Raw genomic sequence first — 18,284 nt, 5'->3', positions numbered from 1 at the left:
ACACAGGGGAAAATGAGTGTCCTTACATCACACTTGTACTTTCTTAGCTCTAAAATTTAGCAGCTGCTCAGAAGGGTTTTGAGGAAATGCAGGAGGAGCTGCCAGCGTCTCTACCAGAAGAGCACATAAGCAGGTGGGCACCTCAGGAGAGGAAGATTAGCAGCTGCTGCTCCTCCTCTGCCTCAAGGCACTGAGCGTGTGTGGGGCCAACCCAAGAGCCCCTGGCACTGTCTGTCCCGCCTCTCCTCACCCTTCCTCCCAATCGGCCTCCTTTATTTCCTAGGACACACACTTCTTTGAGACATCCTCTCTGCTGGGAGCACAGCCTTCTCTGCAGGATGACTGATTCTTATGGTTCAGATTTTACTTTCCCAGAGAACCTCATATGACTCCCCTCTCTATCCCCAAGCTCATAAAGAAAAAAAATCCCCCATTATATACTCTCAAAGCATGATGTACTTGGAGATGTACACCCACCAGGGGAGGTTTATATTTATGTTGTTTTTTAAAAAATCTGCCTCTTCTACCAGACTGTAAGCTCCTTGAGGGCAGGGCCATGTGTATTTTCCCCAGCCCAGCCCAGATGTTCCACCTTGCGCTCAGGAAGTGTGTAGTAAGGACTGACTGAATGAGCCATGCACATTCTCTAATACCTGTTGAAATAACAAGTAAACCATCGCCCTACATAACCCTCCTGACATGACTCAAAACTCAACATCAGTCTGGCAGCAGAAGTTGTGGAAAGAACGCTGGACTCGGCGAGTCAGGAGGCTGTGATTCAGATTCTGTTGTAAGTAGCTCTGTGGCAAGGCCTCTGGAAGGCCTCTTGGCTTTTTGATACTAGGGCTGTGCTGCAAAAGCATTGTCACTCTGCACTCGCCAAAAAAAAAAAAAAAAAAGACATTGACTCCATTTTCTCTAATTTTGTTGGTTTTGTTTTCTCTAATTGATTAAAAAAATAACTTGCCATTACTATTAGGGAAAAAGTTTTAAAAAAGTGCTTTCTCAGTTTCCTGGTTTACTACTTGCTTTTAATTTGCCAAATCCCAAAATTCATAACAATTTATGAAAGCTCAGCTCAAGCGGGCCCAAATGGCACATTAAAATGTCTTGAGGAAAATTCACAGCTCATTCAGTAGCCTTTCGGTGCCCACAGCTAGTGTCCAGATTCTACACCCTTTACCACATGCCTGTCTAATGAGGGCCATTTTGTTCCAACCTCCTCCATGTTCCTCGGCCTGTGTAGAAAATGAGAGGCCTTGGGTGCACCCTCACCTCACTTCGAGCTCTTTGCTAGGCAAATATGGTGGCTCCCCACAACAGCAGTCTGCTGGACCCATTTGTACCAGCTTGTGAGAGCCAGTCATTAAGTATTCAGGAAGTCTGCAAGCCCATGGTGGCTTAAAATTGGCCAAAATGGTAGTATTTACACCATAGAAATTGGCAAATGCTATCAACCAAGGAAGTTTTTTCCCAGAGAGCCAGTTTACCAGCACACCACTCTTGACCCTCAAGTGCTTGGTGCTTTCCCATGCTCACCCACCCAGGAGCTTTCCGAGGGTCATTACCACCAAAACCAGATGGCATACAAGGGGAATGAACAGTCACTGTCTTTGTGCTCCTGGGAACCAGTTTTGCCTATTTCATGCCAAGGGCAATAAACTCTGGCTTCCAAAATGATTCTCTGGCCAGCCACGCCTAGTCTACGAAGACATGCTTATAACCTCTACAAATGTGTAAAATGCATCTTTCTTGAATGATGTGAACTTCTATGTCACAGAGTTTGGGAACGAGTTCATTTAAGTGTTTAGTGATTGCAGCTCCATTTTCACATATGAAGGTCATGATGCCTAGTGCCACGATATTGGGACTAAAAATGGACCGATTCTTTCAACACAGATAACAACTTTTCTTTCCCTAATGGCAGGTAGTGTTTAGGTAAACAGGGAGGAAAATATAAGCACAGTAGCCTAACAATGACAATACATACAGTCATCTCTTCTAAGAAACTTATATGACATATGGTAAGCATGCATTGACATTCTATTAGAACCAAACAGGGTATTCAAAGAAATCACAAAAACATTTTGATTCCTCCCTTCATTTCCAACCAAAGCAAATCAGCAACCATGCACATGGATCTCATCTTTTCTAAATGACTGACACATCGTACCTCGTGTTGGGCTTTAGGTTCTCAATGGGCAAGTGAGTTACTGATGAAGCTTGAGTGGACCACTTGTTCCTGATGAAGTCTTCATAGGATGCACTGTAAACCAAGTAACCTGAAAATGGAAACAGGAAAAACCCAATGGACACCAAGGAACCAAGTCACACACAAGATGTAACCCACTGAGGACAGGTGTGAGGCAAAGCTGCAGATGCAGCTCCATGTGGGAACTACAGGAAGGAGGGCACGCGGCACTGTGGGACAGGATGGGATGTAACACTGGTACCTTCTGCTGAATCCAGATGGGGATGACAAAACTAAGACACTTCCTGATGCCTGCTGGCCCCCTACTTCTCTTGCTCATTCCCCAGCCTTCCCCATCGCCTCAGAACTAATCACGTCTCATCTTGATCACACAGAGAAAAACAAAAGTAGAAGAAAAAAGCAGTGCCCTCCACACATGTATTTAAGAACTTCCGGGTAAGATAGTACACCATTGCCCTGCACAGGAAACGAAGAATGTTGTTGGTGGATGCTGTGCATGTGTGCGGGGCTGAGAGACCCCACACGCCCAGGGGTCCCATGCCCACTTGGTGAAGGCTGTCCTGCGATTTCTCATTGCTGAGTATCTGTGCTGCCCTTGCCCTCACTGTCTAATCACAGCAGTGAGGCAGCTCTTCTTTCTATTGTCCAACCTGCTCTCTCTTATTTGCTAATAACAGACCTCAGCGGGTGAACCCTTGGCCCTGACACCTGCCCAGCCTTTACAACTGTCCCAGGAGGCAAAGTAAAGTTCATCCCACAGCTCAGCGCATCCCATATCCTAGGTCTTTTATGTGTACACAGAAGGAGAAAACATTTGTCAAGCACTTCCTTTGAGCCAAACATTATGCCAGCTAGGTACTCTCAATTGAATTTGACTTTGATTAATCCTCATGATCCTAGTATGTAGGTATTGCCTTCCTCATTTTGACACATGAGGAAACTGAGTATTAGCAATAGGTTAAATATCTTGTCTAAGTTCACAAGTATTGATTCATTAAACAAATATTTGTTGTGCAACTACTATTTGCCAGACATTATACTAAGTGCTGGAGATAAAGTAGTGACCAGAAGCTCATGAAGCCGCAGGGTGCACTGGGAAACAGAATGACACAGCTGAGTTGAGTGCTCTGCAGGACCAGTCCACGATGCTGTGAGAGGGTGTGTAGCGGGAGCTGGCCCACCATGGAGGACACAAAGAGCTTCTCTGGGGTCACAGAAAAGGAGTTGACATCTGAAGGATAAGAAGCAGATAAGCTGTGTGGTAGGAGGTGGGATGGATTCCAGGTAGTGGGAATCCTGGGCAAGACACTGAAGAGGGAGGACCCGGGAGAAGGCAGTGTGGCTGGAAACCATAAGTGGCAGGAATGGGTGGCATGAGCTGAAGTTGAAGCAGCACAGATGGGAAAACTAGGCAGCACCCTTGGGCCAAGCTAGGCTTTTGCTTTTCATCCTAAAAGAAAGGGAAAGACAGTTAAGACATTAAACCTATACAATTAGGTCTGCATATTCAACACATCTCTCCTGTGCAGAATGCCGAATGGATTGGGTGTGGGAGTGGAGATGTGGATGGGACAGTCTAGTTATACAGCTCTTACAGTAACCAGGTGAGAGATGGCAATAGCTTAGATGAGCACAGCATCTAATGGAGAGAAATAGATGGGTTCAAGAGGAATCCAGACAGCAACATTGACCAGATTTAATGATGAGTTGAATATAGAAGTGAGATAGAAGGAGACTTGAAGATGCTTCTAAGGCTTCAGGCTTGAGCAAATGTGTGGAAAGTGGGACAGTTCTCTGAAATGGGAAACACAGACAAGGGCCAGATTTGGGAATGGGAAGGATGGGAAGGATCATGAGTCTGATTTTTTTTTTTTTTTTTTTTTTTGAGACGAAGTCTTGCTCTGTTGCCCAGGCTGGAGTGCAGTGGCACTATCTCGGCTCATTGCAAGCTCCACCTCCCGGGTTCACACCATTCTCCTGCCTCAGCCTCCCGAGTAGCTGGGACTACAGGCACCCACCACCACGCCCAGCTAATTTTTTTGTATGTTTAGTAGAGACAGAGTTTCACCATGTTAGCCAGGATGAGTCTGATTTTTTATACACCAAGTCTGAGATGCTCTGGAGACATCCCAGTGATGACATCAAGTGATTTTACGATTTGCATCTGATTTTACTATTTGGGGCTCAGAGGAGAGGATGGCCTGGCCTTGAGATATAAATCAATGACTCATTTCTGAGATGAATTAAAACCATGTGCATGGTTGAGACTCTGAGGGGAGAGAAGACAGAGCAAGAGGAAAAGAGGCCCCAGGACCAAGCCTTGAGAAATTCCACCACTGAATGTTGTACAAGCCTGCAAGGAGATGAAGAGGTTGAGAGAGATCACACAAGTTAAGAAGAAGGAAAAGATCAATAACATCGAATGCACCTAAGAGGTGCACGTGATTTTATTTAGCACCCTATGATCACTGATTAGTGTCACACAACTAACAAATGGGCAAGCTGGGCCTGGAAGCCAGGTGAACTGGACCCTGGAGCCCTCCCCACACTGTTCCCTAGAGGAGAGTCATTGAACTTGGGAAGAGTTGCTGCCCTCCTCACGGCATTTCCCGTCTGGCACAGTGCAGTCAAGCCCTGCATATGCTTCCACTGGTGCTGCACACAATGGCCCACCCCAGAGGGGACGGAGGTCACACGTGTGCCACGGAAACCCAGCTTCCAATGGAGTTGGCAAAGCTTAGACTCTTGGACCTCTGGCTTCCATCAGAACCCTGCGTTTCCCATGTAAGGCACTGGTTTCTCGGCTGATCCTGTGTCTGGGTTTTGATAAGGTGCTTGCTGGGCACATCATAACTCCTGATCTCTCTGTTGTTCTCATCAAAACCAGTCCTGAAAGTGACTGATGAGCTGGTCCTGAAAAACTAAGAGGTCATCACGTTGGTGATTTCCTACAGAATCACTCCTAATAAAGTAATAACTTCATTCATTAGGAGTGATTTGGGAAAGCAACAGTTTGCAGGCAGGAATTCTAGGAGTTTCACACTGTTCGGGCACCACTTCATTACACATTGACTTGACTGCTTGTGAAAGAAAGAATGGCAGGTGAAAATGAGCAGAGCACACAACATCCATGTAGCCAGCAGGATTCAAATGCCCTGCAGGGGGCCCGATAATGTGATGCTTCATTTAAGTTTAGGATGTATTCACTTGGCTTCGTTGTTCTGCAGATGAAAGAGCCGGTGTTTGGTTCACTAATGGATGACGAGCTGCCGCTATTCTCTCTCTGAGCCTTGCGGAGTCTGGTGTTTTCCCCCACACCACAGGGTGTCATGTGCTGCAGTGTTCCACAGTAATCAGCTTGACAGGAGTTGGCACGGCTCTGTATTGGGAGTGCCTTATAAACACCTCATCCATATTATTTATGCTAGTGTCGTGAGTACTCATGATTAGGGCTCTGAGGTTTCGTTTCAGATGAGGTGCAGGGTGGGGCATGTGAGGACATGAAGGCTCTAGGGAGCTTTGAATGGCTTGGAATGCCTAGGCATGGGTGTTTCAGAAGCCCGACCTCTACAGGACAATACAGAAATCACATCTAAATTAAGTCTCAGAGACATTTGTTGGGAGTTCTCTGAAAGCTCCTTCTTCACTGCAAGAACCCTTGAGGCGTGTTTGGTGGGGCCAATACACTCTCATTCTGCAGCCAATGTTTCTTAGAAGCCCCTTGAATCAGGGCGCAGTGATATATTTATGTTAAGTAATATCTGTTATGCAAGAGGTCAAAAGCTAAACAGCTTAAAGTAAGGTTTTAAATTATTTTTCTGTATGCTTTCTTGCTTGCTTTTAAAAATTACCATTCACAGAAGTGTGTTCAATTAATAAAAAGATTTTCTGGATGTTTGATTACAAGCTTGCCTCCTTCCATTGATTGATTTGCATTCTATTTGGAACACCACAGACTTCACGGCGGTCCGTGTAGCACCTACCCAGGACTGCACTTTTAGTTCCACTAAAGACTCGAACCCCTTAATCCCAAACCCTCCCTGCATCCCACGCCCTTCAGTCTCACCTGGCAGAATACCCAGAAGCCTTCTTTTCTGTGTCCCTTATTCTAGCTTTTGCGCTGCTGTACAAATTCCACAAGAGAAGATGCTCTTTGGATATTCTTGGACACATTTTTTCATTGTAAGATATAATAGTGGGAACACCAAGACAAGCACTAGAAATTTTGAATTGTGCGAACTGCACTAGCACAATAATGGCAGAGAATGTCAAACTCTGACCTCTAATGCGACCGCTACCTCCCAGTCAGAGACACACACAGCCACAGCCATACTTCTTCCTCTTACACAGCTCAGAGGCCCAGAAAAAAAATTTGCAATTATTCACAGAAAATATCAATTCTCTTTCCATAAGAACTTAAATTTCAAGATGTATCTTCAAATATGTCCTTGGCAGAGTGAACTTAAACATCTCAGAGGCCAAGGAGGCTCAAGATCCTTGGGCATTTTTTCATCACCTCCTATTCCCACATAAGGAACTGAGAAGCACCCAGATTTGTCTGGAAGCACCCAACAGACGTGAAAGGAGAGAAAGAGGCAGAGGCACAAGCCCAGGGCTGACTCCAAAAAGGGACAAATGTGTGGCCCAGCGGGAGCTTATGGTCACGCTCACTGCAGGATCTGATCCTGCAAGGAGCTAGCTGGACCCCCTGGCCATTTGCAAGATTATAGGATGTTAGAGATGTAGTGATGTTTTGCATATGGGGAAATCAAGGCCCAGAAAGATGAAGTACTGAGCTCAAGATCATGCAAATCAATCTGGGACGCGGATTTAGGACTTCTGACTTCCATCCAGTAGTCCTTACCCTACCCCATGAGGCTTCCATTGTTGCCTATATTTCATCCAGTTGAAGGAAGACATCTATCCATCATCCCATTCATCCATCCAACCCATCCAACCCACTCATCCATGCATGCACCCATCCACTCATCCACCATTCTTTATTGTCCACATTTCCCACCTACAGATCATGGGAACTCTGATTTCTGCTTAGGACACACCTGTGACCACATCTCCTGGGGTGGCTTTGTCCCAGTCCACAATGACAAATGAGTGGCAACCTTCCACGGCCACCACGGTGATGTTGCGGGGAGCATGCTGGGGAGGCAGGTCACTCTTCTTCAGGTCATTGGGGATGATTTCATCCAGGCTGTCCACTTGGAAGTGATCCAGTGCATCAGTCAGAGAGCACGGGGCTGATGGGTCTTTATTTAGGTACGTCACGTAAGGAGCTGGAAAAGAACAGAGATAACCAATTGGATTGCTGGAGGCTTTTTCTGGAGGCAGAAACATAGCATCTGTTCCACAGAGTCAGACCCACCATTCGGTCTCTTCCTGCTGGACGGAGGCTCCATCAGCCTTGATGCCAAGCTCAGAAACACACCCCCAGCTCTCCTTGATGGATCCATGTGTTTGTGTCTTTCAATCTGGTAATTCCAAAAGATCCTATTGCCCCATGGACATCAATGACTATGCCCGCAAAGTGGTTTTGAGAGATCATGAAACTATAATTCAATGTAATATAAGCCTGCAGCTCGCTGCCATTCCTGTGCCCCACATTTGGAAAAGGGTGAGTCAGGCCCACCCAACACTTTACTAGCATTCTCTCAACACAGTTCATTTCCTTGACTATCTTGGGACCAGGAAAAAATCTATACTGATCAAGATATGCAGCCTTTAGCTTCAACCCTGGGTGGCCTTCCCTAGAGCTTCATAAACCACCACAACAATCTGGAGCATCTGTGCATAAGGCCCGGCCTGAACTACTGTCTACAACATTACTACTCAGTATAACAATAGCTACTCACATTTACAGATGGCTGAAGATTTTTCTACATACTTTATTTCAGGGGATACATGGTCCTGGGAGTAAGGCAGGATATGAACCGATGGCCTCATGTTACCATCTCGCCTGCCAACGCTGAGAGTACCCACTATGCAAGGATCAGATAGCAGGCTGTCACCCCCAGCCCTTAACTCTTTCTATTATATCCCACTAAATTAGAAATGCCAAGGACTTGGGATTGGGGCTTTATATATGCAAAACTCTCAAGTGATGTCCAGTAACAATGTCTGGCAATTTCTGAAGATTCCACTGTATCTTTTGGTGCTAGGTTGTCATTCTCATTGGCTATTTGGACTGAATGCAGTTTTTAGTTTCTCTATTTGACTTTTGGGCAAATAATGAAACTAAGGCAGAAGTCAAGAAGTTCTTTGTAACTAATGAGAACAAAGATACAGAGTCCCTGGGACACAGCTAAGGCAGTGTTTTCCAAAAATTAGTCTGAAGCTAGGCCTTTAGAACTTGTCCATGGGTCTTATCAGGAAGTTTGGGGAGTGGGCTCCTATGCTTTAGAGAGTTGTAGACTTATGAAAAGAGCCAGACAATAGTAAGCCTTTAGCGTTTAGAGGAGTTCTGTGGAACAGCTAATAATACCACAGAAAGCATTTCAATTCCCGTCATGGAACTGCCGGGAGAGAAGTCAGCGCATGTGGTAAACGCAGCCTGGCAGCTGCATGCCAGAGACCCGTGTTAGTGTCTGCCTCAGGAACGCCACCTCAAATTAATATTCTTGTTCTTCAAGTACGTGTGGTTTAGACACTCAGTCACTACATCTTGGCTAGCAAGAGCTGTTCTCTGCTCATGGCAGAACAGTTGTTTTGGAAACAGAAAAGTGTGATATTAGTTTAAGCTGTTGCTTGTCTCCACTTAGTAATATATTAATCCAGCTGTCTCATTAATGAGGTTCATTAAGGGCATGGGAAAAGAAGACTTGCAAGACTTAATGCAGTTTAGTTTCACAGAATTTCCTATTGAAACTGTTTTAATTACTGAGAAAGAAGAGTAAAATGAATTTCTAGATCCCAAATCCTTGAAGCTAATGAAAGTGATAGGAAATAACTAAAGAAAAAAGCTTCCCCTTCATGACATTATAGGCACTAGTGGCTCAATTCAGTAAGCGGCTAACCTTTTAGGAAGAATTTAACAGACAGTACACACACAAGGCCCAGTGGTAAGTCTTGTCGTAGAAAAACTGGCTACAATAAAAACACTCATGTTCCCTGGTCCAGATGGTTTTTAAGTGTTTCTTACTCTTAGTCTATGCAAGGCAGTCTCTCTCAGCTCTCTCTGTTGGACACCAAATCCTCCCCTCTTCTGATTTTGGCAGAAAGCAAAATAATACATATCTACATAAGACTGACTCACTCAATTATCCCCAGTGGAAACTTCATTCTGGAAAAACTTCTCAAAATGCACTGCCTTGGCGAGGCCAAAAGATTAGTAATGTTTTTCTTCAAAGACCACAAGTTAAAAACCCATGTTTCTCTGATTAAGGACATTATATTTACCAACAAATCGTTTCCTTCCAGCCAGATCAAATTCTTCTTCAGGAAAGGAACTGATGGCGCCTTCCTCTGGGATCACCCTCGGTGTGGTAGCAGTGGTCGAAGGCTCAGTGGTGGTTGGTGGCCTTGACGTCTCAAATTCATAATCTGAAATGATATGAAGGCTCTGTAATTGGGCACTGCCAGAAAAGGAGCACTGTCTATAGTCAAATGATACCTTCTTACATTCAACTGTAGGCTGAAACCCAGACAGACAGACAGACACACACACACACACACCCTAAAATAAATGCTATGCCCAAACGTAATTTGTTTCTACTAAAATACTATTTCTTCCCATTTCTGTCCCTGCAGAAAAGAAGCTGCAGACAGAAGAAAGAAAGGGCAAAAAGAAACACATATGACCAGAAAAATGGGGTTTTAGACTCAGAGCTGGAGAGAACCTTAGAATCCATCCACTGTAGCCTTGTAGCTCATGGCACTGGCCCAAAGCCATGCTCTACCTGCATAATGTTCCCTTTTAGAGAATAAAAGGTAACATCAAAAAATAAACTTGAAGTTTTTTCTTAAAAATTTTTTTTTGGCCAGGTGTGGTGGCTCACACCTGTAATCCCAGCACTTTGGGAGGCCGAGGCAGGCGGATCACAAGTTCAGGAGATCAAGACCATCCTGGCCAACATGGTGAAAGCCCGTCTCCACTAAAAATACAAAAATTAGCTGGGCATGGTGGCGCACACCTGTAGTCCCAGCTACTCAGGAGGCTGAGGCAAAAGAATCACTTGAACCCAGGAGGCAGAGGTTGCCGTGAGCCAAGATCACGCCACCGCACTCCAGCCTGGAGACAGAGCGAGACTCCATCTCAAAAAAAAAAAAATTCTTTTTTCTCCCATGTATGAACTTTTTCTGGGCATGGGGGGTGGGATTAATCCTGCCAAGACAACTAATCCTTTAACATTTGAAAAAGAAAATAAAACTGCCCCTTTTTCAAACTGTTCAAAGATAAGAAAGATGCTTAGTATTTTCAAAGGTGCTAAAAAAATCTTCGTTTGCTTTCTAACATCTGCTGTTTTTCTTTTAAGTCAGTTTTTGTTTGAAAACCTTGGGATTAAACCACTACATCGAGCTTTATTATGAATAAATAACACATCAAAGGTGACATTGTTTGCACAGTTGTGATTTAAGACAATTAGAGCTATGAATAATTGCAGAAAAGGTGGACCTCAAAAGTGAGAATCCTGAGCCCTGGTGTCAAAGGCCGGCACTGGGTGTGGACAAGATTCCTTTAAGAACTTCTTCAACTGCAGAGGCAACTTCCAAATCACACAAAACAATCACAAGGTCCTAAGTGTAATAATACCACTAGTTACCACTTATTGAATGACTCTCCCAGATGCTGTCCAAGGCACTTTGTATTCTTAACCTTAAAAAAAAAGTGTTTTTTTTGTTTGAAATGGGGTGTTGCTCTCTCACCCAGGCTGGAGTGCAGTGGTGCCATCATAGCTCGAACTCCTGGGCTGAAAACAATCCACCTGTCTCAGCCTCTCAAGTAGCTGGACCTACAGGTGTGTGCTCCCATACCTGGCTAATTTTTTAATTTTTTGTAGAGATAGGGTCTTGTTATGTTGTCCAGGCTGCTTTTGAACTCCTGGGCTCAAGTTATCCTCCCTCCTTGACCTCTCAAAGTGTTAGGATTACAGGCTTGAGCCACTGCGGCCGGCCTCTGATCCTAATCTTACAAACCTACCCTTGAAAAGATTCTATGATAAGAAATCAACAGATCTAAGCATCACATATTTTATGTAATTAGAAAAGGAGAGAAAAGAAAGGAATAAGAAAGAGAAGAGCCAAGTAAGGAAGTTGGACTTGGTTAAACAAGTAAGTTTTATAAATAAAGGTTGAAGGGGAGCCCAGATGGATAACTCCAGAATTCCTTGGGTCCAAGGAGGGTGGGGAGGGAGGGAACGGGGAGCACAGGGACCAGATAGGAAGCTGCATCTACGTGTTAAGCACACTGTTTTTCTTAGATCAAATATGCATTTGGGAGTGACAAGGAAGCGTGGGGTACAACCACCCTTCCCTAAGCCAGCCCTCGGCATTGCCACCGGCCCAAAGCTCTAAAGGAAACTTCCATCAAGATCATCCACTCAATAGTTACAATCAGATCCTTTGATTAGGAAAGAAAGTGTGCAAATAATTTTTCAAAAGCCAGTTTGTACCTTCATCATATATAACGTAGGCCTCTTCCGTAGGTACTGCAGTGTCAGTCTCCAAGCCTGAGAACTCATCTAGTGAGGACAGAGAAAAGGACCAGTCATCCAGCGCTCCTTCTCCAGGGTTCTCTCAGAAGCAGGCCCCAGAGCGTGACAATTCATTCACCTCAAGCAGGTCATGAAAACAAGTCCCCAAGGCCAGGGTCTCCATAATTTTTTCAGGAGGAAAATCATCAAAGCACTGAAATGGAACCCAGACTTTCTCTCCTTTGGGCCCAGGAAAGGGCGATACAAATGCCTGCCCCATTAGGAGCAAACACCCCACTCCACGTTCCCAGACTCCTCAGCACCACCAAGCTCTCTCTCACCTCCCTCCCACCACCTCAGCCCACTCGCCCGCATGCCTGCAGGGCTCTGATGCTGAGGGAAGGCCCCTGGCCCCTCATGCCACAGCAGGCGCTCTCAGGAAGCAGTCACGAGAGACAGAAGAGAGTGGGCGGTTGGTGCTCAGGATGGTGACAAAAAGCCCCTCACATGTGAACTCCCCTGTTCATCAGTCTTCATTCCTCCACCTCCTCCATCTTGCTTCTGGAATATTCTAGAAGAGGGTAATTTCCTACCTCTTCTACATCCCAACTTGGCAAACTCTACCAATGAGAGTTCCTTGTGCTTCTCCACTTCCTACTGAGTTCCCACCCACTCTCACTGACTCAGGAGATAAATCAGATTTCTTAATTTGCATAGGAAATTTGGAAACATATGCCAATCATTGCAAATTTCCCTTTACAGATTGGGCTGTACTAACCAATAGATCTATTTTGACTACAGAATTATACTTTAAATGTAATATAAAATTTCAGATGTGATTTTTGGAAAAGCCAGGAAACCCTGGTTAGAAGAACTATTAAAATTACCATAATGACGCCGGGCACGGTGGCTCACGCCTGTAATCCCAGCACTTTGGGAGGCCGAGGCGGGCGGATCACAAGGTCAGGAGATCGAGACCATCCTGGCTAACCTGGTGAAACCCCGTCTCTACTAAAAAAATACAAAAAAAAAATTAGCCGGGCGTCGTGGTGGGCGCCTATAGTCCCAGCTACTCGGGAGGCTGAGGCAGGAGAATGGCGTGAACCCGGGAGGTGGAGCTTGCAGTGAGCCGAGATCAAGCCACTGCACTCCAGCCTGGGTGACAGAGTGAGACTCCGTCTCAAAAAAAAAAAAAAAAAAAAAAAATTACCATAATGACTAAACTGATATTATGAGCATAAGTAACATATGAGTGATTTAAGAAAGGTGAGTGATTTAAGCATAAAAGGCATCTTCACCTCCATTATCAGGGTAGTTTAAGCAGAAGTCTTTTGGGAAAGATGTGATGGAATTGATTATACTATTTCTCTACTTGGGAGATACAGATGTAGCTGTAAAAAGGAGAACATCTCACTGTAGCTGATAAAATCTTGAGGCAAAAGGTTTTATAGCTAAAAAAAAAATTGTAGGAATTCCTTTCCTCCCTTTGACCTGAAGCCCACAGCAATTAAATAGAACTCTCTAAACTTAATGCACCCTCAAAAGGGGGCAAGGTGGGGAAAACAGGAAGAAGTGACTAGTGGATGATTTCCCAGATGTCTTCTGTGTATCAGCCACTTTTATGTATATATAATTTCACAACAAACGCTTGAGATACATTGAGCTTATAAATACCCACTTCTCAGCTGATATGGTTTGGCTGTATCCCCACCCAAATCTCATCTTAAATTATAATCCCCATGATACCTACATGTCCAGGGAGGGATCTGGTGGAAAGTGATTGGATTATGGGGGCAGTTTCCCCCATGCTGTTCTCATGATAGTGAGTAAATTCTCACGAGATCTGATGGTTTTATAAATGGTAGTTTTTCCTGCACACTTGCTCTCTCGTTCTCGCTCTCACTCTCTCTCTCTTGCCTGCCACCATGTAAGATGTGCCTGCTTTCCCTTCTGCCATGATTGTAAGTTTCCTGAGGTCTCCCCAGCCATTTAGAACTGTGAGTCAATTAAACCTCTTTCCTTTATAAATTATCCAGTCTCAGGTAGTATCTTTATAGCAGTATGAAAACGGACTAATACATCAGCCAAGGACACCAAGGCTCTGGGAGGATTTACAGCATGCCTGAGACATGCAGATGGTAAAAGACAGCAAAAAGAGAATGTGAACTTCAGGTACTCTGGCTCCAAAGACTACTTACTTTATACTACATAAAACTGCCCCCACTTCTTAAAAGTTGAACTAACCAATAAAATTATTTGTAAATATGAAGATGCTCTATTAAAATCACCATTCCACAGTGTAATTAAGGGGAAATTGAAGTAGAAGGTATATAAACTCCTATGTCATTATTCTACCAGCCTTTTTAGCCTAGTTTGAATGACATGAATATTACATTGTAAAAACAAACTCCACCCACAAAGGGCAATGGCAACCTCGAGTAGTCTGTCCAGCCCTCCTGGGATCACAGTAAGAAGCCCCCAGCTCCTATTCTGAGGCCCAAGAGATGGCCCTTGAGGCAATGACTCTGGTGTGTTCTGATGCAGCCAATGAATGTTAAGCAGAGAGAAGTTGTAAATTATCCATCCGTTTAGGGGTGGAATGGCCATTTCATGAAAAAGTATTAAACACAAACTTTCCTTTGGTCATTCCAATGTCAATATACCTGGGATCCAAGACAAATTACTTCTGAGCTTATTCAAATCAGTTTTCAGGTTCACACCCTGTAAACTTTGGGATTATCTTGCCATTGTTTCCTGGCCTACCATTTTCTTTCCCTTGTCAATTTAACCTTTAGGAATGTCGTCTTGCTTTTCCTCATTATCAGTTCAGTGTCATTTCTTTTCATTATTGCTTTTCGCCAGATAAAAAATAAATACATTGTAAGGTTTTTGCATCACAGGGTGAACAAGAAAAGGGAAAAGTATATCATTTCCTTCATGGACTCTGGTGTTATGGGTAACTCCTTGAGGTGCTGAAATACTCCAGTGCATGCAGCAGGCCACAGAAATGATGCTTTTACCAGCAAATGAGTTCACTTCCTGAGATGAGTGACAGTTAAGTCCTCTGGCATTAAGTAAACAATCTACTGGGTGATTTTGGTGTTCTTTTTCTTAAGACCAAATAAACATAGGCATAATTTTTCTAAAATAGAACCATCCTGGCTCCAAGTAAAAATAACTTTCAGATGTAATGAAATATATTTACAATTAAAAAAAAAAGTTGACCACCTTACTTTGGCCCACCTGAATGTCATTTTAAACCATTCAGAACTATGTAAAACTGGATATTTTACAAGTCAACTCAGCACCAATGTGAAAAGCTTCAGCCTCTTCACATAAACATAGTTGCCAGCCATCAACCATAGTCGTTTTGTTTATTCTCTTCAGTAGTTTATCAAGTAGACATGAAAAAAATAAGTGAAAAATGTCACCAAAGAAGTAAGGCTTTTGCTCCAGAGATATTACAAAATATTTTTAAAAATTATTCTCAGTAGAAGTTTAGAGACAGAAGGTAAATGACAGCCATTTGAAACTCAGGGATATTTGCACATTGTACAGTTGGTCCAGCTCAAATGAATTTTTGAATTTCTCAGTATTTTCTATCTGGAGACCCAGCTGTGGTGGGGAAGATCTGTTTTCCATAATGACTGATGTTTTTCTGCAACTTTTAACAAGGTCATGCTACAAATTCTTGAAGATGTTCATTTGGCTCATCACATTCCATATATATCATCTATTATCAGATTTGCTGTAGATACAGAACCTGAAAAAAAAAAAGAGCACTGGCTTTTAGGACATGGAAAATGCCTATACCTTAAGGTCTTGCTTGGATATCCAAAGGTACATACTTAGGTACCACAAGGAATTAGAGATGAAGCAGAAGACATTGTCTCAACTGCAAGGAGTTTATTATCCAACAGAGAAGTCAGATCAAGTAGAACAAAACCAAACAAACAAAACAAATGTTCAAGGCAGCATTATTCACAATAACCAAAAAGTGGAAATAACCCAAATGACCACTGACTGATGAATGGAAAAAATGCTGTATATCCATACAATGGAATAAAAAAAATGAAGTACTGATGTATTCTATAATGTGAATGAATCTTGAAAACAATTATGCTAAGTGAAAGAAGCCAGACCCAAAAAGCCACATATGACATGATTCCATTTATACAAAATGTCCCAAATAGGTAAATCCATAGAGAGAGAAAGTATGTTAGTGGTTTCCATGGGTTGGGAGGAGGGAGGAATGAGGGCTGACTGCTAATGAGTACGGAGTTTCTCCTGGGGTGATGAAAATATTATGGAATCTAATAGTGGTGATCATTGCACAACTGTAAATATATTAACATCCACTAACTTTAGAAGAATGAACTTTATGGTATATGAATTTTATCTCAACAGAGCTAGTATTAATACATTTTTAAAATTTAATTTCTTTTTTTAATTTTTATTTTTAAGTTCTGGGGTACAGGTGCAGGATGTGCAGGTTTGTTACACAGGTAAACATGTGCCATGGTGGTTTGCTGGACAGATCAACCCATCACCTAAGTATTAAGCCCTGCATGCATTAGCTATTTTTCCCAATGCTCTCTCTTCCCCTACCTGACCCTCTGACAGGCGCCACTGTATGTTGTTCACCTCCCTGTGTCCATGTGTTCTCATTGTTCAGCTCCCACTTACAAGTGACAACATGCGGTGTTTAGTTTTCTGTTCCTGTGTTAATTTGGTGAGGACAATGGCTTCCAGCTCCATCCATGTCCCTGCAAAGCACATAATCTCATTCCTTTTATGGCTGCATAGTATTCCATGGTGTATATGGACCACATTTTCTTTATCTAGTCTATCGTTGATGGGCATTTGGGTTGACTCCATCTCTTTGCTATTGTGAATAGTGCTGCAATGAACATACATGTGCATGTATCTTTGTAATAGTAAAAATTTAATTTCTTATCACAAAAAAATACCACTTTCATGGTGAGTGCTCTTACTATAAAGAAAGAAAAAAGAAGAATACTAACAATAAAGGAGTGGGAGTGGGAGGGAACTTTGGGAGGTGATGGATGTGTCTGTGGCCTTAGCGGGATGATGATTTTGTGAATGTATTCTTATCCCAAACTCATCGACATGTATGGATTAAATATGCAGAACTTTTTCTATGCATACATCAAGAAAGTGGTTTAAAAAGATTAAAAGATAAAAATAACTATGATTACAGTTAATAAAGAAGAAAATGTTTAATGAAGTTGTTAGTGAAACAGTAGAAATAAGAAAGGGCATATGGAAGTCTTTTTAAACTAACAAATTATAGTGCATTAAAATGCGATATGAGGATGATATGTTACTGTCCCCACATTTAACTTTTCCATAAGACTGTGTATTGATTTGTACTTATTTTCAAATGCTGTCCAGAGGAAAATTATTCTTTAGCTTCGACTAGGGAATCAGGAGACTGGACAGGAGTGAACATATATATGTTATGATTTGCAAAGAAAATAAGAGGCAAAAATGCCAGGAAAAATATTGACTTTCATGCCAAATAAAAGTCCAAAAATATAAAGTAGATGAAGAGAACATGTTGGAAGGCCTAAATAAAAGCAGACAAAATAAAATGTGAAATAATAGCAGCCGTAATTAAAATCAAATCCAAAATAGTCAATTTTTGTTTACGACCAATTACTAATTATGTTTTAATTATATTTCAGTCTTTAAAATTAAACACATTAATGCATGCAGAGGTCAGATGTCAATACTAGAAATTCAAAGGTAAATTCAAATTTATACTCACTGGGTCAATGGACAGAGTAGAAATTTTCTTCCCATTGTTCCTCTCCCTCTGTACGTGTTTCCATGTTTTTTTGGTGTGAATTTTTTAGATGTGTCAAGTTTTCCTGTTTATTTGTAACTTTTTCACGGAAAGACTAACTTCCAACAGAATTCCCATTTTGGATACAGTATTCATGTTCAAACTGATTGGGCTTATCATAGTCAATAACGTTGCATAAGAATTCCAGCTTGATTCCTGAAAGGAAACATCTTCACTCTGCCTTGGTTTAAAAAGACTTAAGCTTTATAATTGACATTGCAATTCATTTCAAACTGAGGGAAAGAAGATGAATCTCTCTCCTCCATGCCTGATGCAAATCTAGAATGACTTCTTCCAAAGCAGCTTGAGCAGGGGACTGAGCAGAAAAGATGGAGATATATTGATATACGGGCTCCACGATGACCTGGATAAAGGTCTCCTAGCTCCTGCTCTTCAGGGAGAACAAGCCATTTTCAGAAGGAAGACAGACTTACATCAGGGGCGGCAGGATAGTGCAGATCAGCAGAGAAGGGAAAATGGTGCATTCTTACCCAGTGGAAAGCCCACACTCCCACAGGAAGCCCAGCTACATGAGGATTGGCATTCTCCAAAGGAGGGC

General features: G+C 42.8%; 1 protein-coding gene and 1 long non-coding RNA gene across 4 annotated transcripts in view; both read right to left on the bottom strand.

Annotated features, from left to right (window-relative positions):
- The window catches only part of FNDC1 (fibronectin type III domain containing 1), a 102,709-nt gene that overhangs the window by 13,304 nt on the left and 71,121 nt on the right, over positions 1 to 18,284 (bottom strand). For all 3 annotated transcript variants that reach the window (NM_032532.3, XM_011536190.3, XM_011536191.3), the window contains 4 exons: positions 11,836 to 11,904; positions 9,623 to 9,766; positions 7,273 to 7,503; positions 2,174 to 2,282 (listed from right to left, as the gene is read on the bottom strand). In NM_032532.3, coding sequence (NP_115921.2) covers positions 2,174 to 2,282; positions 7,273 to 7,503; positions 9,623 to 9,766; positions 11,836 to 11,904 — 553 coding nt within the window. The remainder of the gene's footprint in view (positions 1 to 2,173; positions 2,283 to 7,272; positions 7,504 to 9,622; positions 9,767 to 11,835; positions 11,905 to 18,284) is intronic.
- FNDC1-IT1 (FNDC1 intronic transcript 1) lies at positions 15,476 to 18,053 on the bottom strand. The gene is made up of 2 exons (NR_046831.1): positions 17,648 to 18,053; positions 15,476 to 15,619 (listed from the first exon to the last, which is right to left on the bottom strand). It is a non-coding gene; the product is annotated as an FNDC1 intronic transcript 1 (long non-coding RNA).

Source organism: Homo sapiens, chromosome 6, assembly GCF_000001405.40.
Source record: "Homo sapiens chromosome 6, GRCh38.p14 Primary Assembly".
Lineage (NCBI taxonomy): Eukaryota > Metazoa > Chordata > Mammalia > Primates > Hominidae > Homo > Homo sapiens.
Note: the sequence above shows the minus strand (reverse complement) of the source record. Positions and strands in the feature narration are given on the sequence as shown.